The 26,543-nt window shown below is 51.7% G+C and overlaps 1 protein-coding gene and 1 long non-coding RNA gene across 2 annotated transcripts in view, besides 2 other annotated features; both read right to left on the bottom strand.

Moving 5' to 3' along the window:
* The window catches only part of LOC107984281 (uncharacterized), a 67,711-nt gene extending 56,640 nt beyond the window's left edge, over positions 1 to 11,071 (bottom strand). Inside the window, exon 1 of the long non-coding RNA NR_186705.1 lies at positions 4,434 to 11,071. This is a non-coding gene — a long non-coding RNA (uncharacterized LOC107984281). The remainder of the gene's footprint in view (positions 1 to 4,433) is intronic.
* Positions 4,341 to 5,038: an enhancer, noted in NCBI's record as "H3K4me1 hESC enhancer chr10:131571913-131572610 (GRCh37/hg19 assembly coordinates)". NCBI's record gives its function as "activates a minimal SCP1, AML or CMV promoter by ChIP-STARR-seq in naive H9 embryonic stem cells {active_cell/tissue: H9 hESC(naive)}" and the evidence as "EXISTENCE:reporter gene assay evidence [ECO:0000049][PMID:30033119]".
* The window catches only part of MGMT (O-6-methylguanine-DNA methyltransferase), a 303,743-nt gene continuing 284,903 nt past the window's right edge, over positions 7,704 to 26,543 (bottom strand). The window contains exons 4-5 of the mRNA NM_002412.5: positions 19,346 to 19,485; positions 7,704 to 11,899 (exon numbers count right to left, since the gene is read on the bottom strand). Coding sequence (NP_002403.3) covers positions 11,690 to 11,899; positions 19,346 to 19,485 — 350 coding nt within the window. The 3' untranslated portion in view covers positions 7,704 to 11,689. The remainder of the gene's footprint in view (positions 11,900 to 19,345; positions 19,486 to 26,543) is intronic.
* Positions 16,357 to 16,929: an enhancer, noted in NCBI's record as "H3K4me1 hESC enhancer chr10:131560022-131560594 (GRCh37/hg19 assembly coordinates)". NCBI's record gives its function as "activates a minimal SCP1, AML or CMV promoter by ChIP-STARR-seq in naive H9 embryonic stem cells {active_cell/tissue: H9 hESC(naive)}" and the evidence as "EXISTENCE:reporter gene assay evidence [ECO:0000049][PMID:30033119]".

Below are 26,543 nucleotides of genomic sequence, written 5' to 3'. Positions count from 1 at the left end.
GATAAGAAAAGAAACACCTCCTGACCTCATCGAGGTGACTTTAGTAGCTGGCACGGTGGCCGTGCTGCCCCGCGGTCTGGGCTTTCCCCATTTCTTTGGGGGCTTCTGAAACCTGCTGATCTTGTCCTCTGCAGGTGTGAGACGGCGTCTCTGCTGTGTGAGACGATGTCTCTGCTGTGTGCACTTCCATCTCCCTGGCCTTGAAGATCCTCCTGCTCGTGTGCTCCCAGCTCCAGGAAGCTCCACGAGGAGGCCTTGAGCCAGGAAAGACTCCAGTGGGGGCCCAGGAAAGGAAATCAGCACAAACCAGGGGCTGTCAAGAGTTCCCGGCATCTGGCCCCAGCTTGTCTAGCACCCAGCAGACAAACTGAGAAGGGGCTGGGAAAGTGTGGACCCCAGGCAGCTCTCACAGGGCTGGGACCGGCCCTTGCGGCCAAGGGGTTTAGACCGCTCGCCCAGTGCTGCTTTCAGGAAGACGAGTAAATGAGGCTGGCTGGTGATCTCTGAACTCGCTACCAAAGGCACCCTCTGTACTTTCTCAACAGAAACAAGAGTTATAACAATGGCAGCCACAACGAGGCAGAATCTGCAAAAATGAAATTTAAAAACCGACTATGCTTCCCCCATTCCCTAAGTGTTTTCTCCACGCAGGTGAAAAACCTCCACGTGTCCTCTTGGCCCCCACAGCTGTCCCTCAGGGTCCAGCCGCTGGCGTCCAGTTCCTCACATCCCTGGGCAGCCTGGACCACGGGAGGGCACTGGTGCTAAAGGGCACGCCTCCATGGCTTCCTGCGCGGCCCCTGAGCTGGGCTGCTGGAAGGAGACACGTGATGAAGTTGTAACGCGCATGCACCGAACACCGAACTCCTCCGCCCCCAGGTTAGGAAACCCCCGACACAACCTGTGTACAGGAGGTGCAGAGACAACATACCTCTCTTCTCAAGGGGTTTCTGCAGCCCCCATGAATCTGCTGTCACGCGTGCATACCTCACGTCATTTAAAATCATAAAAGCCATAAGACACACAGAGGCTCTTGTGTACCTGGGATGAGAGCGCTTTCGCAATCCTGGGTGGTACGCACTCTCTGGGGGCAGATGCTAGTTTCTGTCTACATTCTGGTCGTTGCCTTAAAAGCATCCTTTAGAGTAACTTCTTAACAAAATGATAACTCTTCCCCGGAGAACACAGCCACGGAGCTGGCCAGGCACAGCTTCCTCTACCCCTAGACCCTCGGTCAATAACTTATGAACCAACTACTTCAAAGACCACTTCTCCTCAGACCCCGGGGTCTTCCTGAGAAAGTAAATGAACACTAACAGGTATTTCTTCTTATAAACCTCCTTGGGAATTGGTCTCTTCAAATCGAGAACTGTGTTCCTCATGTGGGTCCTGGGGGTCTGCGCTGTGTGGAGGGGTTCCGCTGCTTCCTCTCTCTTGAGCTTTCTTTGTAAAAAATAGAGATTCCTCGCAAATTGCTTCAGCCCCTGTGGGAAGCAGTTTGGAGATTTTTCAGAGAACTTAAAACAGAACTACCATTCAATCCAGCAATCCCGTCACTGGGTATCTACTAAAAAAAATTGTTCAACTGAAAAGACACACGCACCCCTATGCTCATTGCAGCACTATTCACAATAGCAAAGACATGGAATAAACCTAGGTGTCCATCAACAGTGGACTGGATAAAGTCCACTTTATCCAGTATACACCATGGGATACTATGCAGCCATAAAAAAAGAAGAAAACCACGTCTTTGCAGCAACATGGAGGCAGCTGAAGTCCATGATCCTAAGCAAATTAATGCAAGAACAGAAATCCAAATACCCCATGTTCTCACTTATAAGTGGGAACTAAGTCTTGGGTACACACAGACATAAAGATGGGAACAACAGACCCTGGGGACTCCAAAGGGAGGGAAGAGGGGGTAAGGGCTGAAAATTTTCCTATTGGATACAGATGTTCACTATCTGGGTGACAGGATCGATAGAAGCCCAAACTTCGGCATCATGCAATACACCCTTGTGACAAACCTGCACATGCCTCCCCTGAATCTAAAATAAAAATGGAAATGAAAAGCAAATTTTAAAAACCTTCACATGTTACAGGCTGCATTTAAAAAACCTGAGATTCCTTCCTTCCTTCCTTTGTTCCTCCCTCCTGAGGTAGTGTGTATAGTATATGTGTGTGTGTGTGTTTGTATACACACACCTGCATATCTAGGTAGCAAGAAGGGAAACTGCTTGTAATCCCCTCACCCAGAGACAGGTGATGAGCTCTGGCCTGTTTCTGGGCATCGCACCTGGGCACATGCCTTACGTGTCATCTTGCTACTCTGTAGGGATGGGCCTCTTCCCCTTAGAAGACAAACAGGCTGAGATCACACCCATTCTACTGAATGTTTCCAGTGGATGTATCCAGTCCCTCATTGCTGGGTCACTGGGTTGATCCCATTTCTTTGCATAACACAACTTTGGTTGTGTTATGCAAAACATATCCTTGGCCATACTTCTTTGCATGTGCCTTGGAGAGATTTTGTGATCACTGTATTTTTTTGTGTGCCTTGTAAAGTTTTCAAAGATCTTTGAAGTCTCTTGCTATTTCCAGCACTCTTTTGAGGCAAGCTCCCCCATTGCTGTTTTGCAGACATGAACACCGAGGACCTCCCTGGGCAGGTCGGGTCAGGGAGGCCCATATTTACCACCCTGGCTCCATGCGTTGGCCCCCTGCTCTGAATGGCAGGACCTGGCTCCATGCAGTGGCCTCCCGTCTGAGTGGCAGGACCTGGCCCTCCCGAGTCAGGGGAAGATGTCCCTCCACCTTAGAAGCAAGGCGGGTCCCGGCAGGAGGCCTAATGGGAGGAGGCCCAGCCCACTTCAGGCTTTGGTTCAGAGGGGGACACAGCAGAAGGTCGAGAGGAACATGCTCACCCCACAGATGCAATCATTAAAAGGTGATGAAAAGAACCAGCCCATCTGTGGGGCCACCAGCCTCGACCTCTCCCAGGCCTGAACCACAACATCCTACATCTCATCTGCCATCCTCATTGTCACAGTTTATTAGCGGAATGTCTGTGAGCACCAGCAGCTGACATGGCTATGGCCCTTTTTTTTTTTTTACCTGTCTGAACATTCTGGATTTACCCTGTGCATGCCATCCAGGGCTGCATCCCTGCAGCTGAAGGACATTCCTGGGAGGCCCAAGTGTGCCTGGGGAAAGTGCCTGACACTCGGTCAGGGCTACAGACACCAGGATTCCCTCTGGCTTCTGGGCATGGTCACTCAGGCCTGACATCCCTGGATCAGGAAGATTCTGGGATTGGATGTCCTGAGATACTCTGGACCTTCTACCACAGGTCACAGTCCTGGCCTAAAACCCAGCCACACGGGGTATCCAGAAGCCTGCAAAGCCCTGAACTGGGCCCAGTGCCCATGGCACTCAGATGCCTCTGGGACATCAGAGCTGGCCTGAGGCCTTCGTCCCTCTCCCCCGTCACCTCTGGGTACTTTCTCCCACCACCCACCCCGCCAGGCTTTCAGTGCATGCAGGAGCCCAGGGACTGGGGTTCCATGGCTGCTCCGTTGCCTGCTCCTTGAGCCCTGTGAGCCGCACTTCCACATCAGAGTGAAGGCAGTGACCCCTGCAGATCTGGGGTAGCCAGAGCCCGGCTGTCTCCTCCAGTGGCCTTGCGGGGGCTCCGAGAGCATGCTCACTGTGCAGGTTCTTTGGGAAAGGGGCTTCTCTCCACAGTTCCTCAGGCCCTTGTTTCCCCAGTTCAGCTCACTGTGGCCTCTGCAGACCACGTGCTGGGTGTGGCCGCCTTGGGGGAGGGGGAGGTGGAGGCAGCCAGTGGCCCACGGTGGTCTTGTGTTTGGTTAACCTAGAGTCAAGGCAGGGCTGTGAGCTTCCTGCTTGGGTGGCTAGAACGCCTCTGGCCACTGCTGGTATGGAGCAGGGCTGCTCTCCACTCCTGCACAGCTGGAGGACAGCAGCCAAAGGGCAGGGGAGTTAGCACCCTGGGGGACCTCACGTGGTGGGAACACTGCCCTCCAATACTCCTGTGGGTGAGGGAGGCCCACCCTCTGTGGCTGTGGGGGAAGGATCAAAGCCTGCTGGGGACCCAGGAAGCCGACAGCGACACCCTGGAGTGGGGCCTTCTGATGAGAGCCACCCGATCCTGGCCTGGGGGGCGGGGGAGCACAGGGTCCTTCTGTCCCAAGGGTCTGCTTCACCCATCAGCAATGAGAGAGGCAGTCTGTGCACTGGCGTGCAGCCCCTTGGGGGCCTCCTGTTCCAGAGCTCCACAGCCACCACCAGGCCAACTTCTCCATGGAACTGGTGGTGCCAACTCCCAGCCCACAGCTCTTGCAAGAGAGCTGGCTCCAGAGTGTTCCAGAACGTCCCAGGTCTGGCTCAGGGATTCTCTTCCATGTACTCACCTGGACCTGAGGCTCCCTGAAGGCTGGAGTCCAGCCTTGGGTGCGCTGGTGGATGGCCCGTCTGGTCAGGTGGGAGGAGCCCTTGGTCGGGATACTCCGCCGTCTCCAGCGAGGGGCTCAGGGGAGGTGAGTGCCAGTCCCCAGGGCCACCATGCAGAGTCCACGAAAGGCTTTTTCCCAAGAAAGCCCTCCAGAATGGTGGCTTAGAAGACGGCTCCCTGAGTGAGAATACCTAAGTTCTGGAAACAGCAAGACTCTGGGAAAGGTGCATTTCAGGGATGCCTGCCCAGATGAGGTTTGAATTGCAAAGTGTGGGGCAGGGAGCGTCACATGGCAGATACTGGGTTTGACAACTGCAAAACAGCTCCCCTCCCTGCCAGTTCCAGGGTCAGCCACGGCTCTGGACCTTGCAAGTATCTTCCATCCCTGGTGAAGCCAGGCCAAAGCAGACCACTCGGCAACCCACCTCTCCTTCTGGGTGGTGGTGGTGGTGGTGCCAGCAGAAGACCCCTTGGGAGGGGGCTGGGGGCCGGCTTAGCTGTGATGATGATTTATGGGTGTTTGTGCCCATGATTTCAAGTTACCTCTTGGTCACTGGGGTGGCTTTCAAAGAAAGGCAGGATGTCTCTGCTTCGCCTCCTGGGCGCCTCCCACATCAGGCTACACCCTGCTGAGTGGTGATGGAGATGAAGACTTGGCAGGACCCGCCCCAGCAGGCCACACCTTGGAGGGACACCCCAGCAGGCCACACCTTGGAGGGACACCCCAGCAGGCCACACCTTGGAGGGACACCCCAGCAGGCCACGCCTTGGAGGGACACCCCAGCAGGCCACGCCTTGGAGGGACACCCCAGCAGGCCACGCCTTGCAGGGACACCCCAGCAGGCCACGCCTTGGAGGGACACCCCAGCAGGCCACACCTTGGAGGGACACCCCAGCAGGCCACACCTTGGAGGGACACCCCAGCAGGCCACACCTTGGAGGGACACCCCAGTAGGCCACACCTTGCAGGGACAGAAGGATCCTCACGGGCCCTCCAGTGGTGTTGGGAATCTACAGGAAATAGGGGCCAGGGCCATTCCTCATTGGCAGACATGTGAACAGTCTTAGAAAAGCCACTATGTGCCATATGGAAGCCAGGCCTGCACTTTCCCCAAAACCACCTGCAAGCAGTGTCGGCACCCAGGCAGGTGTACGCAGAGGACACAGGTGTGCCGGGTGTGCTCAGGCTCACACCAATTATGTAAACCCTGCCTCATTTCACAAATGCTTTCCCATTGCAGAGGAATCTTCTCCGGAGGGGACAGCTGCGCTGCCCGTAACTGGGATGTGTGAGGCCTCCAAGGTCTGCAGAGGGTTTCTCCAGCAGAGTCTCTGGTTTATGGCCAGTGTGGCAATGATGATGGTGAGGCCTCCTCCTGAAAATGCTGCTCAATCTCTTCAGGACTGGGGGGACATTTAAAATTCCCCTTCCTGAAAATTGACAAAGTGAGCAAAGCTGCAAGAGGAAGGAGGCACCTGGAGAACCTGCCAGTCCCGGAGAGCACCCACTCCGGCTGGGTGGTGCCCGGTGAGTGATGTCTCACTGCCACACCTAGAGAACCTGCCAGTCCCGGGGAGCGCCCGCCCCGGCTGGGTGGTGCCCGGTGAGTGCAGGTGTCTCGTTGCCACACCTGGGAGCACTGGGGCTTTTGCTCAGTAACAGTATCATACACTTACATGATGCCTTTCATCTGGAAGGATCTCATGGCTTCCTAAAATTTAACTCCCCGTGGGGACTGTTTTACCCCAAAAAGAAACACATCGTGGGAGTGAATCAAAGCCTGGAGCTCCTGAGAAACGAAGCCTTCTCTGTCCGACGGGGACTGCAGGACGGTCCCCCAAACCCTGGGTTAGCGCCAGGTACAGACACCCTCCTTGTCTGGTTAGAAAGTGGGCAGTGACAGGAAGGTCACACCAAAGCCCTCTCAGAGGCCAGCCTAGAGGGCAGAGCTTTCCCACCAAGGCCCAGAGCGGAGCGGCCTTTGGGCAGGGATCCAGGGCCAATTCCACCGCCTTGGAGGACCGCCTGCTTGCTCAGGACCTGATTCCATGTCCATACATGCTTCCTTGTCACCAGCCAAGTCTCACACGTGCATCCATTTCTTCTCGTAGCCATGGCAATCACAACACACAAAAGCAATCCTTTTTGCATAATATCGCAGGTTGCTTAACGTTAGGACCCTGATACTTTCTCCAGCTGGGTTTCCTTAATGTGAGTCAACAAATCAACCTGGAATCATGCGTTCCGCTGGTGTTTGGGATCCAAACAGCAGTGACGTGTAACTCGAAGACCTGTAAAGAACCGTTGGGTATGCCCGTGTGTGGTGCTGTGTGTACAATGTCGGGGCTGGCTCAGCCCCCTCGCCCAAGGGCTTGAGCATCTCTGGTGAGAACCATGGGCACCACGTGCACTCTGCTCAGACGCACTCCTTGGGGCTCACTCGGAGCTGAGAAGAACTCCAGCTTCTCCATGGCAGCAGATCCATCAGATCCTTCCCCACCCTTCCTTGCCTGACTGCATCAGAGTCCGTGACAACTAAAGCTCAGGGGCTCCACTCTCCATCCTCAGGCCACAGTAGAAACATTACCTGTGAGGCCGACCACATCACATCTGCGGAACGTGCCTGACTGCCCAGGTACCCACACTGCCAGGGACTTTCAACAGCCTGGAAAATGGCAGCTTGAAAATAAGTCTTTAATAGGAGGGTGGATAATTTTTTCCTAAAGGCTCCCAAACATTGATACCATACTGTACGGGATCGATCTTAATTACTGTCCATGTGGAATTTTTTTCTGGTGGCTTTTTTTTCCAACGAAAAAAACATTAATGAGAAACTTTAAAGGCTTGTTAACAATGTCCTTTCATCAATCAAAGGTGCTGTCGGGCTGGGCTCTGCCGTCAGTTCACACCTCGCTGCCCAGCATCCACTTCCTACTTTCTCATCCACCCCCACCCCTGCCCCCATTACAGATCCTTGTCGGGGCGACCCGGGTGATGGAGGCCAGACGTTTCACATCTGTCAGCAGCTGGAGCCATGGGGTCCCGAGGACACTGGATGGCTGCCCTCAGTGGCTTAGAGACAGGTCAGTACCTGCAGTTTCTCCACCTTCCCGTCCCTTCAGACAGACAGACAGACAGACGGCGCTGCTTGGCAGAGGTCTTGGGCAGAGCCGTGTTTAGATCTCAATGTCTTTCAAACTGATAAGTAAAACTGATGTGAAGTTCAGCTCTTTAAACACAAACTTTTAATCAAATGCCCATGAACAGGAAAGAAAGAAAGAAAAAAAAACCCACACGGTCTGAGGTCTGAGGGAAGCCAAAAATTTAAATCCCCCACCCCAGGGCCTTGGACTGTTTCCGGGGACTCCACTGCCCCGATGGCAACAAGAAGACATGCAGACAAACAGGGGAGGCCCGAGGACATCCCAGCAGCTGTGGCCGAAGCAAGGGCCGTTTCGGGATTGGTCTTTCAGTAAAATCTTCCTAGTAAAATAAAACACTTTCCCCCTTGCTCATACATGAAGCCAATTTATCTCTCACTTCAGAATCCTCCTCTGTGCTGTGAGAAGCCCAAGTAGCACTAAGATCTGTAGCTTCATGAACAATCTCACATTAGCTCAGTGTGACATCCTGCCCGCTCCAACGGGGTGAAGTCCGAGCTGGCGCCACCGCCCATGGTCACAGCTACGGGTGCATGGACAGCCAAGGTGAGCAAGCGGCAGATGAGACCGGGAGGGGACGTGGCCCCCAGGGCTGTTCTGTCCTTGTAGGCCAGGTCAGGGGATACAGCAACATCCGTAAATGCATTTCTGTGAGGAGGATGCCTCACATTGCTGCGAGAATCTCACTGACCAGCTACTCCCCAGAGTCCGCCACTCCACAGGGCTCCAGCGGGTCACACCACCTCTTACGTTTCTCAGCAATTCAGGTGGATGGGATTTTATCCTTATCTTACAGTTCTGTAGGAAACAAGTTCCAGGATAATACTGCTGTTTACAAACGATGTAAGAAACAAAACTGATGGCTTCAGTATAAACCTATCTATATTGGACTTGCTTGGCCCCTCCAAACGGGATTCTGGAGAAGCACGTGGGGCGCGACGCACCAGAGAAGCTTAAGTCGCAGAGATGGTTTCAGTTGCTAGCACATCATCCAGCCACCCGAGGGGTGTTCAGTAAGCTGTTTCTGCTGGGTAAGAAGTGTATACAAATTACAAACCCCAAGTAAGTTCTCTACAAGGTGAGCTTGCCCACTTCCTCTGCAACGCCCGGTGCCTGCAACCTTCACATCTGGAAGTGCAAATTCATGCCCCTAAGTTCTGCAATTCCTCATGCAAGAGCTCCTCCAAGCTTCCTGATTCCGCATCAGCCAACACCATAACATGCATGTTTGCACGGTCATAGCTTCTCTTCTCTGGCCTCACAGACTCACCACTGGAGGCGGCCACAGGACACGTGGAATGCAGGTGGGTTTACTGGACACTTCTGTTCCCAGCGGGAAGAGAGACTGGGAGAAGGACAACCCCTCACAAAACTCAGTCTCCTGCGTGGCCAAAGGCAACTTATTTTGCCACAAGTGTGGTTCTGCAAAAACAAGTATTACTTCTGACTCTCTCATCTCTCTGGAAACAGGGGAGCGTGGTCCGCCGGTCTGAGTGGCTGCGAGGTGGCTGTCGTGCACGGCGGGTCTCGGTGTCGGCCTTCAAAGCATCACAGTGCTGGGAAATGCGACAGGGTGAGGGGGACCCAGGGCCAAGGCTGAAGAACACAGCTTTCTTGTTTCGACATTTCTTTTTATTTGGAAAATAGTTTTGTATTTCTTTGTGCCTTCCCTCTCCCTCTGTATTTTCACGAACGGCGCTGCAGCTTGGAGGCAGAGCGGCTCTAGGCGACCCGCGTGCTGGCTTTTCATGTCGGCCTCGGCAGAGCTTGTCCTTGGAGCGGTACACGGCCCCGCCGGTTTGAGCCCTGCTGCTGCGGCTGTCAGAGGGAACCTCCGGGCATCTATCAAGCCTGTTCTGACAGGGCCGCGGAAACCCTCGGAGAGGAAGCAGAACATGGTTTTGTACTGCACCAAGGGCATGGTCCGAGCAGGCCCACCTGTGCTCCCAGGCCACACGGATTTGCTGGCTCACCTTGGACGGCTTTGACGGGCAGGTCCCCTGCCACCAGGAGCTGACCTGGATTCTGGGGGCTCGGCCCTCGCTGGCTGCAGTCATGTGGCCCCAGGACCCTCCCTCAGAGCCTGTGCCTGATGAGAGACCTGAAGATCTCACTGGGAGGCTTCCATCGTTCATGGGACCCAAACAGCGGAGGCAGCCTGCCTGCAGCGTGCATGCCTGCCGGTCCAGGTGTGGCTGCAGAGGGCGGCCTGTAGGGTCTCAGGGAGCACAGGGAGCCATCGGGGTGCCGCCCAGCCACCCTCCTTCAAATCCATCCTCCAGCAGGGGAAGTGGTGCTGGGGTCTCCACAGCACACCGCACGGCTCTGGTGCCCTCTGTTGGAAAGCACTCGCGGCTCGCACACCCGGGCCACCAGGCCCCAAGCTGCTGCCTTGGAGAGCCAGAAGCTTCTGTTCTGTTCATGCAGAGGGGAAAGCCGTGCCTGGTGACCGGCCATCACTGGGGAGGGCCATCATCTGTGGGGGACACAGGGCACCACCTTTGGGGCAGAGTGCACCCAGCTTTTCCCACTCACCTTCAGCAACGTCAAAAATGACCAGACAGCCTGCGAGTCCTGACGGTGACGCGGCGTGCGGCACCTGAGGCCTGCCAGGAGCAAGGAGGCCCAGGGCCTGTCCCACAAAACAGCACGTGTCTACGTGACCCGCTGTGTGACTTATCCTGCTTCAAAAATACCAAGAGTTAAGACAACGGGGTAAGAGTCACATCACTTCATGTCATAGGAAAAACCGAGATTTTGGCTGATGCCAGAAAGGGATATAATAAATCATAAATCAGCGAAAAACGTCTGAAATCGGTTTTCTTTCGTTGGTGTTAAGATAAAATGAAATAGAAGGCGGGTCCCAACCATACACATCGTGAGGCCACATTTTCATCCAGGCCTCGGTGACGTGTAGAACCATGCGAGCTTCCCTGCTGTGGTTCACACCGTGGCAAGGAATGCTGGGTAAGAACATGGCGCTCTAGTGCACAGCTGGGTGCAGTTCATTTTCTCTATACATCATATGCTCTGTTTTATTTCTCCATATGCAGAGCTACAGGTTTCCCTTCCGGCTTTTGGATATAGTTAATTATACAGCTAGGATGACAACACAATAATGAAGTATCAGACAGCAGCGCACCGCCCATGCTGGAAACCCTGCCTGCTGCCATCAGTGACATGAGCTGGCCCCCCACAGTCGTGACCTTTGACTTCCAGGATCGACACTGGGGTGCTGGGGTCCTAACAGGCCCATGGTCCCTGAGGGCCCTTTGGGGCAGCCCTTGAGATGAGAGGTCCCTGTCCCTTCCTACCTGCTGCCCAGAGCACACTAGGCCAGGGAGTATGGAGAGAGGGTGAGACTTGACTTCAGCTCTCAGAGAGGTGCAAGCTCCATCGAACCCGTGTCCAGAGAGCTCTCTGTCTTTCCAAATCTTGGCAAATGGTTATTTTCTATTCACCTGATACAGACCATAAGTGGATGCATCTTGCATTAGCCTTTTTGGCAGGTAGGAAACAAAGCTAGAAAACCTCTGTAAGCACTGACTGCCATGGCCTGTTCCCCTTTCTTTCAGTGAGACCTGGGTGTGGGATGCTAGGAACTGCTGAGTGGAGAATGCCATCACAGCCATGGACACAGCCAGGAAGGGAGGCATGGTGGGGATGGGGCAGGGCCAGCTTTCTAGTGTGGACGGCCTGGGATGGGCCTTAGCTGGCCCTGGACAGCGGCTATGGCAGCCGTCTGTGGCCTGAGGGTGCCAGACTGCCCCATCCTGGGCTGTGGCCCAACATGAGCCAGGCCTTCCACACTCACTTGGCCTGTTTTAATGGACATGAAAAATAGAGCAAGGGCAGCGTTAGAGAAGGAAACAAATGTGTGCAGGACCGCGGGCGTCTGAACTCATCCTGCTGTAAAATATGGAAACAGAAAGGGCAGACACGCTTGTTCCCAGGACACTGCCACTTCCTTTAATACAGCGGTGCCTCCACGCCCCGCATCCGATGCAGTGTTACACGTGTGTGTCGCTCAAACATCCATCCTACTGCACATACTCAGTTTCGGCCAGCAGGCGGGGAGCCCGAGGTAGCTCCCGCTCCCTTGAGCCAGGCCCCTGCCAGACCTGAGCTCCCTCCCAAGCCTGGCTTCCCCAACCGGTGGCCTTCATGGGCCAGAAGCCATTCCTTCACGGCCAGTCCTCCGGAGTAGTTGCCCACGGCTCCGCTGCTGCAGACCACTCTGTGGCACGGGATGAGGATGGGGACCTGGAAGACAGGGGGGCAGCCACTGTCAGTCAGGGATCTGGACAACGAGGTCTTTGGGGTCAAGGCCAAGGCCCTGACTGACAGGAGTCCTGTGCCCACCAAGCAGGGGCCTGTGCCAGGGGCAGGCTGTTGGCATGGGTGGGTGTCAGCTATGTCTCAGCATGGACTTCCCCTCCCCTGAGGCCCTTGAGTCCCTGGGGGTCTCAGCACGGGTTGGGGGAGGGACGAGTGTCCTGAGGTGACGTGGGGCATCCTCAGAGAATTGCTTTAGGCCCACGATTTGGGAGGAGAAAACTTAATTTCATCCGGTGAGTAATATACAACGTTCGCTTACAAAACTGAAAACTACGTTTCCGAGTTCTGGTGGTATGTGACGCTCTCAAACACTCCCCAGGTACCACGCAGGCATCACAGGACGCATCAGAGAAGACCGTACCTGCACGGGCCTCTCCAGCCCATGGCCGGCCAACTGTGGCTGTGGGCGCACGCAGCCCACCACCTGCTTTTGCAAATGAAGCTTTACTGGAACGCAGCCATGCCTTTTTCTCCATACTGGCTGTGGCTGCTTTGCCAAGCCTAACATATTTACTCTCTGGCCCTTGACAGGAGGACTTGGCCAACCCCTGCCTCAGGATGCCCTGTGCTGATAGGGGCTGATCCAGAGTGAGGACCACAACCACGCAGCCATACACAGGCCCCGGATCCTGCCTACCAACTGCTTCTTTATGGCCAGTCCCACCAGGGGAAGGGAATCCCTGTTCCCTCCAGAGGGGCGGGCGCCTCCTTCAGTGCAGTCCTCAGGGAGACTCTGCTTTGGTCCTTTGGCGTTGCCCGAGCTGTGTAGACAGGAGGAGCTCCATGGGTCCACTGTCTGGCTGAAGCTCTGAGAGCCACCTGTGGTGGGTGGGGGCAGGTGCTGTGGCCCCTGCCTCTGGTTTCCATGTAGGTGCTGGCCTCCTCCACTCTCACACCCACAAGGGAGAATGAGTCACTGACCACCGACAAGGGAGGAAGAGAGGGGTATGCCCAGCTTAGCACTGTTAGGGCTCCTGCAGGTGACCTGCCTGCCCCAGGGTTCGGGGCGCCCTGATCTCTTCTGAGATGGTCAGCCCCTGCCTTGGCTGGGGAGGCCAGAGCTTAGCCAGAGGGGACAGTGATGGCGAATGTAATTCTTGTGGGAATTACTGGGAAGCCACCATGGCCATGCCACTGGCCCCCCACCCCCTGCCTTCAATCTCGCTTTTACCCTAATAAAGCTAAAATCTTGAGGTCTGCTATCCATTTCTCAGCTGGCTCAGAAAGGTGAAAGACAAGGCAGTAACATATGGGCATCTCTCTGGTTGTCCCCCTCTGCCTGGGCAGACAGGGATGGCCACACAGCCTGCATGGCCACCGCAGGGGACTCTGGGGGCTCTGGGGGCTCCAGGGCCATTTGCTTAAGCTTCCCAACAAGCAGTTACTGTGAAGATCTGCTCCAGAATGGCTTCCCAGGAGCATGTGGGGAAGTCTTGCACAGATTTCTAAAGAAAGAATTGGCTGGAGAGCCTCCCAGGCAACAGCCTTCATCCCTAAGTAGCTCCTGGCGCCTGGGGAGCAGGTGTATGGGTGGGCAGCCACTAAGGGGCCAGGACATCTCGGGGGACGTGTGGGGGGACATGCCTCATCATCGTGCAAAGCATCACAGTGGCTGCTCCGTGAAGAAGGTAAACTGCCAATGAGCATGACCACAGGAGCCAGGGCAGGCTCCAGAAGAATGGGGAAGGGCACCAAGCTCGCTCTGGAAGGTTCTCAGCTGGCACGACACGTAGAAGGCACATGGGAGATGCCTAACGATCGCTTACTGCCTGGCCCCCCTTCCTCCCTTCCTCCTGAGCTGGAGGGCAGCACATTCATCCCCGCAACCTAGATGGCCCAGACACGGATGCTGCAGACCCGGGGCCTCTCCCTGGGCCCTCACACATGGCTGCCCTGCTCCCAGCATCCTGCCCTGATGAGAACAAACAGCTGTTTCTGCAGGATCCCAAGGTTGGGGCGTGTCCAGGCTACCTCCGGGTATCACTCCGGGTACCCCCGGGTATCACTCCGACTCCACTCTTCTTTTTCTCTCCAGCTGAGCGTATCCCCAGCTCAACAGAGAAATGATTTCTGCCCATGCCCAGCTTCCCCACGCTCCACCCTCCAAAGCCAGTGAACTGGACAAAGCAACCAGCTACTGGTCAGGTGAGCTTTTAGAGGAAGCAGCTGGGGGCGTGTGCCCAGCATCTCCAAGCTCTATTTCTTGGGCACCTCTGCTTCCTGGGGAGGTGACTGCTACTTTTGCATCCCCTGAGGCTTTTGGTGCAGGCAGCTTGTGTCACTGCCACACATGTACCTGCCACAGATTTCACCTGGTGGGTGTGGCCCTCTGTGGGGCCCAGCTACACACGTCCCCGAGGGAGGTGGGGGAAGCCCCAGCCCCCCTTGGAAAAGGTGCTTAAAGCCCCTGGGAGCGGGTGTGCCCATGCCTGATGCTGCTGCATCTTCGACCCCATCTATGGCCCCCATCACCCCGCAAGGCCCCACCAGGCCTGTCTCAGCCTCCGGCCGAATGGAGTCTCGTGCCCAAGTTCATAAAGCTGTTAAGTGGCAAAGAAGGGGCTCTAACCACTCTCCTGCATGGCTCCACGCACCACACTTCTCCTCCTTGACGTGGACTGTTGAGGTGGGACCTTGTGGGGTGACAGCCGGTGCCAGCAGATGACATGGCTGCAAGGTGGGACTCTGGCTTCCGGCACATCACACAGCTCATCCTAATTTGACGATGAGTTTGGTAACGTGCACCAATGACGCAGTCTAAGAGGCTTCTGACGACTATGACATGGGAACATGCAGGTGGCGGAGGGCTGACTGTTTTTAACATTGAGTTTACTAGAGTGAGGTGTAGTAACTGCCAAGTTCTGGAACAGCTGAGAATCCCAGTCTTCCAGAAGGAGTCACAGGAAATCTCCAGGATGGAATATTTACCCTGATTGATGATTTTTATCAAATACAACAGTCCCATTAATAATTGCTGTGAGGGCATTATTAGATAATACACAATTCACGTTTTTGACTGATAAAGAGGTAGGCATTTAATTCAATCTAGTTTTATAAACATTTAGGCACCAATTCAATTTTCCTACCTAATAGCAGATTTCACAGCAGAGCTTTGGTTTTTCTTCTCTCCCTCTCAATGAGCTATGAAATTATAAAAATGAGTAAAATAAACATGTCTCCCTCTCCCTCTTCCTGTACATCAATGCAGAGGCCAGGACAGATGGCACGGAATAACAATGACCCCGACAGCTGTGACCGGTCCTCACCTTAGCATGCTGTGATGGGGAAGAGGTGACTTACCAAATAGGCACTATTTTTACCGTTAGAAATAGGGAACGCTGCTTCTGTTTGTGTGAATTTTGGTGGCAGGTTTCAGACTATTAAGATAATGAAACCTGCTGAAATTTATTGGGGCCCTAAGGACATTTTCAAAGGATCTGTACCCTCTATGCCCTCTCCTTTAAAGCATGTGCTGCATAAAATGTAATTTTTATCAATAACCAAGAAGCTCATAATATCACAGCTGCATTGAAATCTTCATGCTGTGAAATCTAATTCATCCAATACGTGAATCCATCACTTATGCAGCCCCTTTCTCAAACGCTATAAAACTTCCAAACCCATAGATTTGTTTCCAACAAAAATAACATGAAGGGGCCTTTCAGTCAATGATGGAATCCCTCTGATTCTGGTACCGGCTGAATATTTTTTCCAACTTCGCCTTTGTTCTTCTGGGCAGCAGCCCACAAGGGAAAGAGCTTGTTTTCACTCGCAGCCTCATCAATACCTAAATCCTGGTGAACAAGTGACACCGAGAAGCTGTAATCAATAGCTCCCTGTGCGTTTTTTTCTTCTGGTCAAATGGTTCAGCTCCACTGACAACCTTGACACTTAGAACATGATGCTAAGTCTTTATCAGCAGCCATCCGGGTGACGGGCAGAACAAGCCTCGGGGGGTCATTAACGCTCATGGCAATCCGTGAATAAACTAACTCCTCAGGAATGCATTTGTTCAGAAAAAGGTGGGGAGACTCTCTGTGCAATGTATCGATTGCCTTTGAACTGCATTTAGCAAATTCTGTCTGAGGATGAAGAGGAAGGGTGCTTTGTGGAGGGGGTGGGTCGTGAGGAGTTTTCTACTCAATATACTGGGAAACTGACCATCCTCTCCCGCTGAGTTGGGGAGACAGCCTTCCAGGAATGCTGACCAACCACCTTACACCGGCTGGTGAGTCCTTCCTGGAGGATTCTGGAGAAATCAAGCTCCTAGGATAGAGGAAAGCTCCGCATGGCAAAAGCCATCCCTTACTCCGGTTGGGGAAGAGAAACTCATGCCGACAGCAAATGCAGTAATATGAACCAGCACGTGCTCCTGTTTATTGCAAGCCACCTAAGGAATTAATGCACAATGAGCTTTACGATGTTTTCTAACATTCCAAGTCCATTTTTCACTCTCCTCCCTTAAATGCACAATCACTCTATTCATCCTGAATATAAGGGATGTTTTCAATGAGCGAGTCTCAGCGACGCACCGTCTGGGCTGGAGTGGATGTGCGCAGCCTTCCGGCTGGGACACTGCTGTCAGCGCCAAAGGGAAACATTCCTGAGGACACTGACAGCAGCAATGGCTCACTGCTGGCCAGCGCCCTTCCTCTAGCAAGTCCCTGGGTCACCTTTTCATCCTCCTAGCCCATTCTAATGAGGTTTCTAATGGGAACTTGGGAGGCTGTCAACCTGAACCATAGTAAACTACGTAGCTGAAGGCTTCTTGCAGGAATATCTCTGGCATATCTGTGCTATAATTTGAGGCGTCTGTGGGTACCGTAGCCACAGGTCCTGCTGCAGCCCCCTCCTCAGGCTGAAGGTCACTGCACACGGTGGAGCCCACAGAAAGGCCACGAGAAGCCACCACCGCCTGGCTGCCCTCGGCACAGGAGGCATGTGGACGCCGAGAAGGGCGAGACTTGGTGCCTGTAGAACCCTCCTGCCTGATGCTGTGCTCACCTCCAGTCTTGGCTTTGCCATGGGACAGGGTGCCGATGTGTGGACTTTACAGACATTAGGGTTTTACATCCCATGTGATACTACTTTATACATTTCAGTGACTGAGGCCATACTGGAACAGAGACACTCATAGAGATTAATAGCAGGAGAAGAGAGTCACGCTGGTTTGCAGAACAATAAATGTCTCCGAATATCGCCACAAGCAGGATTGCTAACCAGCGACGGCATCTCCACTGCAGAGTGAGAAACTGCTGGCATCACCAAAGGCTGGTGGGGGAGGGTGCTGCCACGCTGCACATGTCAGTTAGTGGAGCTTGTCCTTACAGCAAAAGGGGAGCTGCACACACAAGGGAGCGAGCAGTCGGCGCCCGCTGACGGGGCCACTCCCATCTTCATGTGTGTGCACGGAGGGAGCAGAATCCACCTCAGTGGGGAGAAGACAAGGACTTACTCTCCTCGGGGGGCACAAAGAGTAGACACTGCCTGAAACAGTCACTGCACTGATGCAGGAAGAGCACCCCCAAAACCCCATTCGCATCCACAGTTCTCATGGGCCCTACACGGAGCCACAACACAACAGCATCTGAGCTGCCTTTTCATCAGGTTGAACACCTCAAAATTGACTCACAACCGGGGAGAAGACAGCAGCCTTCCAGAGGGGCATGTAGGTTAAGTTTTATTGGGAAATGTCAAAAACCATCCTCAGAAATTTGATTCGGAAATATCCCCCAACGCGCCGTAAAAATCAGATCCCTACTGCGTGGTGCAGATGTTTTATGACAATGTAGCTGAAGACATTGCAATTAATGTGCAACAGGTGCAAAAGGAAGGGTCAATTGCGCCCACCAGCCACTGTCACCAAAACTGAGGACAGGAAGAGATGGAGGAGGTGGGGATGGTGGCTGTCCCTGTGGTATCTCACTCCTGGGATATTTGGGATATTTTAATAGGGTAGAAAGCTCGCCTAGATTAGGGTGTACATTACGACAATGCAATCCACTACAAACCTACCAGAGTTGCTTTTTAAGGACTAACAATGCAGTTTTGTGCAAAAGCCTACGTAACTGTCATCTCCTAGAAACGGAGGCTCTGCCCCCAGGCTGCTGCAGCGGGCAGCAGGAGCAGCAGGCTGTGGTATGAACACGCCGGCCTCTCCCCTGTGAGCAGGGATATAAGTAGTTTTGGAAATAGACAGTAAAGCCACAGCAATTTTTCAAAAAGTGAGGTCTATCTGATTTAGTAATTTCCCATCCCATGATGGAGTGATCATATTTGTGCTCCCTGATCAGATGGTATGCTTCCATCATGCTAGAAACTTTCACAGAGCTTTCGGGAGAAGACACTGCCAACGTGACCACACACCATCACTGGGTGAATATTCCAGGGGCATTCTTGAGGTTGTGTGGGTTCTCCCAATGGGCCACGCAGACGGGGCACCCTTTCTGCCCCCACACACACAGGCACGTGTGGCCTTGGCCGGGCGCACATGGCATGCTGTGACTTACCACCTCATGCCAGATGCCAGATGGCCCGCGGCCCAGCTGCCAGGCCTGGGTGCTGTGAGATGGGAGAGCAACGGCACCCACGTGGCCCCCAGGCACCACAGGCCACGCTGCCCCACCCATGCTGTGTCCCGGTTGGGCCTTGTCCTCTGGGGAGCATGGCCTGAGGCTGCATAGCCTGGGAGCCTGGAGTTTAGTGAAATCTGACTGCAGACGCATGGGAAGGACGAGGACACAGAAGGGCTCTGGGGAGGGCGCCATCCCTGGTGAGACACGAGGTGCGTGTGGTCTAGGTCCCTTGTCCCATGCTGCAAGGCCTCCTGCCTCGTGTGCTCACGTGTGGTGCTTTAGCTCTTGGGACCCAGGGAGCCCTGGGCCTCAGGGGGAGTGCAGCCCACAGAGAGATGGGGTTGGATGTGCACCCTTGCTTGGCCATCCTGCTAGGATGCAGGCACCTCGCAGGTAGACCTTTCTGTCTGTTAGCTGCTGTACTCTGGGCACCTAGAAGAGTGTGGGCCATAAAACAGGCACCCAACACGTCCACCTCCTGAGTGAGCAGGTGGGGCACCCTCTGCCCGCTTGCCACTCCTCCAGGCTCCCTCCTCTCCTGCTCACTGTGACAACCAGGAGCTCATGCAGTGGAGATGTGCTCCCGGTAGGGGGGAGCTTCCAGGAGTGTAGTGCTGGGGTAGCCTCCTTGCCTCTTCTGGAGGCATCTGGCATAATGGTCCCCATCACAGATATCGCCCCTCTGCCCACCCCAGCAGCACAGCCTGCCTTCCGAGGAAACACGTGGGATCAGATGACACCCTGCCACCTGCACGCACCCGCCACCCACAGCCATGCTTGCGCCATGAGAACTCACAGGATTGCCTCTCATTGCTCCTCCCACTGCTCGCGCGGCTTTGGGGTTGCCTGCCAGGGCTGCTAATTGCTGGTAAGAAATCACTTCTCCGAATTTCACAACCTTCAGCAGCTTCCATAACACCTGTCTGGTGAACGACTCTGAAAGGAAGAATGCAGGATAATGTTATTTGGACAAACGGCTTCAGCAGCTCTGATATAAATAGCCACTAGTCCCAAAACAGGAAACGCATCTACACAAATAGAGGTATTATACTCAATTAAAACACGGCCTCCATGCACTGCTGCCACCATGTCACCAGGCGAGGAGACGCAAGCATGTGGCAGGCCACCATGCAGGCTGGCCCCTTGGAAGGCATCCTTGGAGCTGGCACCACAGGTTTGCAATTTCTTTCCATCTTCCCGTGTTCCGCGTGGGGTTGCGTGTGCCACTCTTCTAGCGACTGGGCGTGTGTAAGTGAGCTCATGGCTCAATTAATACACACAGAAGTCCCTGCCTGCCCGCCTGCTTGGAAATCTTTTGTACTGCTGGTTAATTTCCAACTTCAACTGGGACAAAGAAGGCAAAAGCAGCCACAGGCCAGGCTGCGATATTATGCCGGCTGTCCACCTCCAGCCGCGTGCAGGATTCCCCCAGCTACTGCTCGGAGTGCCAAGCACCACAGTACGCAGGGGCTGGCGGTGACCTTGGTTACAGGCATCTTTAGTGAATAGGGCTGCAAAAATAAAATGACTTGATTCCCATTTTAATTGACTAACCACATCCAACTGCATTTGTGCCGCATCCTGCTGCAGGAATGAGGAGGTGACTGCAGGAGAACATTCTCTCCCTCTGCCTCCAGGTTTCAGAACTGTTACCTGGGAGTGGTGTCGGTGGGAGAGAAACTGGGGCACGCGAAGAAGGCCTGTCTGAATCAGTACCTATTGTCTTTCCAAGGGGGACATGCAGCTCAGGAGCACTGGAGACAGAGCCATGTCCTCCATCGCAGGGGCTCCAGCCCCTCCAGGGGCAGGAGTTTCTGAATAGCAGCAACAAAGGGAAGGCTTCCGCGGGCAGGAACGATGTTCTGAGTGTGTCCACAAGAACACTAATTACACTTGGTGCCAAGCTGGCAAAGTGTGATTTGGTTCTTAAAGGAAACACACCCTTACATGTGTGTTAAATAATAAAAATCACTTCTTAACTGAAGGGAACGATAATCACTTCACTGGGAAAAAAATCTGTTTAGTCTTTATTATAACATTAAGCAAATTAAACATCAGCATAATCCAGGTGATACTAGAAAAGGGTCATCAAAGAAATTAACTTTGTTGTTCATTAATTTACATGGATTAGTAGAGGGCAAAAAGATAGCAAATGTGCTCTAGTTTTTTATGATATAATTTCAAACTGTACACCATTTGTGGCAGGAGGGTGACTTTGGGGTTAATCAGACTGATTTGTCCTTTTAATTGCTTTCTATTCAAAGAAAATTCATTAGATAATGTTCTCTTCAAAATTCATGAATCAATTTAACTGAAGAAACCACATTAACAGCTTTGGGTTCATTAGCACATGCAGTTGTATTACCGGCTGATGGCTGGCGGGGTGGTGGATTTCCCTGGGCAAATGCACTGTTTACTGTCATTTCTTCAGAAAACGTTTTGAAATCAAACTGTTAATCATTATCATGGTTGCTGTTGTTGTTATGCCTAACTTTAAAAAAAAGCAAAGCAAAGCAAGGTAGCCTGCTGTTGACTTGGAGGTAAAGAGATTTCGGGGACAGCTGTCTTGGAAAAGAAACAATGAAAGCAGCACGTCAATACCGCAAGAAGCAGAGGCCAATTTCCTGCCTTCCTCGGCGAACACAGAGTTGGTGGTTTTGTTTTCTGTGCTTTCCGTTAGGTGTTCTGGGAGAACGGCCTGGAACTTTACTAAACTTGTAGGAATGAAACGAGGGAGGTGTGTGCAAACCTAACCGGAGCACAGAGCAGTTCCGAGAAACAATGGCATGGTTCCAAGGGCCTCATCTGAGCGCCAGCCTTGAGTGCTGCTCTGACAAATTGCTGCCAAATTACGGAGCACCTTTCTTTCCAAGTGTAAAAGTATCGTATAATAAAACAATTATATGTCCATAGATGAGCACAGAGTTTATCAAACATGTTCAGCTTCATTGTCAGTTTCTCATGGGAAACCATTTCTTAACTGGTCCGTACCAGGCAACATATGAGGAAGTATAGCTCAAACAATGTAGTATTTAGCAATCAGGCACCTGATTTTACAAATGTATCTGAAAACTCTGTTTCACCCTGCAGCGAACGAATGCAGTAATTAGTTGAAGCAGCTCTCAAAGAGCACAGTGCTTCGAACCCTAGCCTGTGCAGAATCACATGGCTGAATGACACCCGTTCTTGAAGAAGGGCAATCCTTGCTGTTAAGCATCATATTCTATAATGGAGTGAAATCCACTCATAGACATTAACTCATGTGGAAAATAGAAGTTCTTGAGGTTGAGGTGACCACATCAGTCCTCAGCAGCTGGAACAATCACTTCAGGTGGCCCAAAGGGGCAACCATTAAAACAGCAGCCTTCTGGTCCAGGCGCGGTGGCTCACGCCTGTAATCCCAGCACTTTGGGAGGCCGAGGCGGGCGGATCACGAGGTCAGGAGTTCAAGACCATCCTAGCCAATATGGTGAAACCCCATCTCTACTAAAAATAAAAAAATTAGCCAGGCGTGGTGGTGCTCGTCTGCAGTCCCAGCTACTCGGGAGGGTGAGGCAGAAGAATCACTTGAACCCGGGAGGCAGAGGTTGCAGTGATCTGAGATTGTGCCACTGCGCTCCAGCCTGGGCGACAGAGCGAGACTCCGTCTCAAAAAACAAAAAACAAAACAAAAAAAACCCCAGCAGCCTTCTCTCTTTCACCATGGGCCTCCCCAGAGGGCAGCCCCGAGACCTTGGGGCTCTGTGACGCGGCCTCCGAACGCCACATTCTGGATGTTCCTCTCTTACCCCTCCACTTCCCTTGTCTCCTTCCCACACTCGCCCTTCCTCCTGCCTGTCCTGTGGTGCTGGGTACCTTGGGCTGGGCTTCTGTGGCTGGGGTCAAGGGAGAGGACCTGCATCTTGGAGTCTCTGCATCTGAAGGACATGGCTATTTTCATTTCGGCTTGGGCAGCTATTTAAATGTGTGCACCATAACTGCCTCACCCAGAGAAGACTGTTTTCTAAACCCTCTGCCTGCATTGTGCATCCTCCGCCAAGGGTCTGGATGCCCTTTTCTCATGCTGGTCACGGGAGAAATCGTTTTGTGTCACAGACACTGGGTTTTTATGCGAGGTGTTTTCATGCCACGCCATGGAGTGGAGCTCAAGGCTCTGAGCAGGCCTGACACCTGAACCTGGACCAACTCAGCCAAACCCAGCTCCAATAAGGAAGACAACACACACCAGAGCACGGCAGGAGGACACAGACCGGGACCAGCCTGGCTCTGCCACCGCTGTGCTCAGACTCATCACTTCCTTATCCTGGGTGTCCATCTCTCCTCGGTGATAATCTGCTACGAGCCACCTCAGCAAACACACCTGTGCGTCCACTGCACACGGCCAGGCTCAGAGCACAGGCAACAGCAGAGCTGGCCAGGCAGCTGGCCCTCTCTGAGATCAGGGCTCCGACAAGCACTGAGGCTCTCTTTCCTGGGAGGCAGGCCATTGTGCTTCCAAGTTCTTGAGGAGGAGTCTCCTTTCCCTCAACCATCACAGCTCCATGGGTGGTGACCTGTCAAGGTCCGTGTGGCTTCCTGGGGGGAAGGGGCATCCTTCAGCAGCCCAGGCTTTGGGACTTTTCCTTAGCCAGGCTGCAGCTAGCAGGGGCATACTCAGGCCCATACACACAGGTGCTACCTGCCGGGTCATGCTTGCAGAGCATCTCAGTAGCTGTGCTGTGGCCATGGCCAACAAAGAGCAACAGAGAGCAAGAAAGAGCAGGTCCTCAGCTCCTGCAGGACATCCCTGTGCAGCAGCCACTGGCCTGGAAGGGGAATCCCCAGGAGCTGGTGTCCCTGGCACAAGTCACAGCTATTTGACCTAATGCTCCCTGGCCATCAAAAGCAGCCAGAATAAACTAACCTGAAACACAAATGGAGGGAAAGGGGGATTCTGGTTCCAGGTAAAATGAAGCAAGCACTCTATACTTGTTTCTTCTACTGAATGTCTTTATAAAACCTGGGCAGAAGGCACAGAGCAGCTACGTGAGGGCTGAGAAGAGTCAGTAGTAGTTGGCAGCCTTGGAAAGAAGATAAGAATTTCAAGTACCATGGAAAAGATGAATGGGCTTCCTGGGTTATCCCTCTGTTGTCCTCAGCCCGAACTTACTACAGCCTGAGCCCTGGAGGCAAAGCCTGGCACAGCTGGGGAGCCCCCTAGGGGCTCGGCTCTAATCCACTTTGAGGAAGGAAAAGCATCACCTGCTGCTAAGGTTTCAATGTGTTCCTGTGTTGGAAACAACTGCCACTGTGACAGTGTTAAGATGTGATTAGGTCATGAGGGCCCCTCCCTCAGGAATGGATGAATGCTGTTACTGCTGGAATTGGTTACTGAGGGACTCTGGCCCCTTTTCTCCTGTCTGGCATGCTTCCTCGCCATGGAATGCCTTCCACCACGGGGTGGCCCTCAGCAGATGCCGGCGTCATGCTCTTGGACTTCTCAGCCTCCAGAGCTGTGAGCCCAATAAATTCCTATTCTTTATCAATTACCTAGATGGCAGTGTTGTTATAGCAGCAGAAAATGGGCTGAGACAACTATGTTCAGGGCGAGTGAGGAATCATCCCTTTTTGGTGTTATCTCTGAGCCCTTGAACGTCAGCTCCTCCCTAAGCAATCCTGTGGTGTGGGGGACAACAGGGGCCGCAGGAGCCCAAACCAGTGAGGGGGAGATGGTCCCTTTCTGATGGGAAGAGGTGTGCTCCCCCTAAGAGGTGGGCGAAATGTCTTTGCTCTTTACCTCTGTCTTCCTAATGCTTGGACCCAGATTGAGGTTTAGTAATAGGAAGAGTTTAGCGGAGTGGGGAAAAGCCCCAGCTGTCTGTCCAGGGGACTGAGGAGGGAGCCCTGAGAACTAAAAAGTGCCAAAAAGATTGTGGAGGAAAAGGAGTTCATGGAAGCAAACCAAAAAGCTGTTGATAGATTTCTGGACTCACCTGTTCGGGTGAGCTGTCTACTTCCCCGCCTATGCACATGTGTATCTGACCCTAAACCACAGACTTTGAGAACTGCTGTAAGAATTCGGCACTGCCAGTTCCCAAACTGGCTGGTGAGTGGTGCACAAAAGAACTGATGTTAAGAGGACGGAAAAGGGTTTGAAAATTGAACAAATATTGAAGGCTGGTCAGAACTTATGAACTAACTAAATCCAACCAGGTTGACTACCTCCTAAAACAAAAATATCAACATTATCTGTAGGATTTATATAAAACCCAGAGTCTCATAATATTCAAAATGACCAGGATACAATCCAAAATTACCAAGCATGCAAATAATCAGAAAAATAAACTCACCAGGGAAAAAATCAACTCATGCCAAGGCTGAGATGACCCAAAAGTTGAAATCATCTGACAAAAAGTTTAAGAGATCTGTTATAAAAATGCTGCAAGGGAAGACACTCTTGAAACAAATGAAAAAACACAAATAGAAGCTATCAAGAATAATAAAGTAGAAAATTTAGTGTTGAAAAATACAATAACCAAAATTAAAAACTGTACTGCATAGGATCAATAGTAGAATGGAGATGCCGAGAAAAGAGTCAATAAAACTGAAGCCAAGTTAACAAAAAATCATCCAAACAACAGAAAAAAAAGTATTTAAAATAGACAAAAAGAGAACACGTGAGACAAGGTCAACAGATCTATTTATGTCACTGGAGTTACAGAAAAAGAGGAAAAAAAGTGTAGTACGGGAAAAAATTCAAATAAACGATAGCTAAAATTTTGTCAAATTTGGCAAAAGATACACAACTGTAGATTTAAGATGCCCAAAAAACTGCAAACAGGACACATTCAAAGAAATCCATTCCCAGATAAATCATGATCAAACTGCTGAAAGCTTCAGAGAAAGTCTTGAAAGCCACTAGAAACAAACAATGCATTATGTACAAGGCAACAGTCATTTGAATGTGGAATTCTCATCAGAAACTACTGAGTCCAGAGGAAGTAAAACAGCACTTTTGAAGTGCTGAAAGAAAGAAAAAAACCTGACAACTCAGGATTCTATATCCGATGTTTAAGAATCCTTCAGGAATGAAGTTAGAGTTAGAGACATTTGCTGATAAAAAGGAAAATCTAAGGTAATTCAGTGCCAGTAGATCTGATCTTTAGAATGGCTAAAGGAAATTCTTTAGAAAAAAGGGAAATGATGGTTATAGTTATCCATATACTTACTCTAAAGAAGCTTGGAACATCAGGAATGCAGGCAGAGTAAGAAAAATGTAAGTATATGGAAAACTATTACAGGCTATTTTCCTCAAGTTTTTCAAGATATGTTTATTAGCCAAAAGCAAAAATTATGACATATGAAATGAGATTTTCAATTTATGTAAACATAATGCATGATATTATAACATAATGGGAGAGCTAAAAGGATCTATATAGTCATAAGATTTCTATATTCCACTTAAAAAGGTAAAACAGTGATTCTAATTAGACTGTGAAAGAAAGTATTATAATCCCTAAAACAGTCACTAGAAAAACTATATGAAGAGATATAGTAAAAACCACAACAAATAAAACAAAACACTAAAACAAGTTAAAAATAGCCCAAAAGAAGGAAGAAAAAGGAAAAAAAGAGGGCACAAACAATAAAATGTTAGACCTAAATTGAAACATTAATAATTACATTAAATGTAAATGATCTAACCATGCCAAGGAAAAGATAGAGACTGTCACAATAGATTTTTAAAAACATGCACAAGAAAATGCCGTCATAAAGAATTCACTTCAAATGATACCTGTAGGTAGGTTAAAAGTAAACGGATAGAAAAAGATATACCATGCAAACACAAATGTAAAAAAAAATTAATAAAAGACAAAGCAGACTTAAGAACAAATAAAATTCCCAGAGGGTAAAAAGGAATATTACATAGTGAGAGGGTCAATTCACAAAAAGAAATCATCAATTCTAAATGTATATGTGTCTTACAACAGATTTCAAAACTCATGAAAAAATTC

Source organism: Homo sapiens, chromosome 10, assembly GCF_000001405.40.
Source record: "Homo sapiens chromosome 10, GRCh38.p14 Primary Assembly".
Classification (NCBI taxonomy): Eukaryota; Metazoa; Chordata; class Mammalia; order Primates; family Hominidae; genus Homo; species Homo sapiens.
Note: the sequence above shows the minus strand (reverse complement) of the source record. Positions and strands in the feature narration are given on the sequence as shown.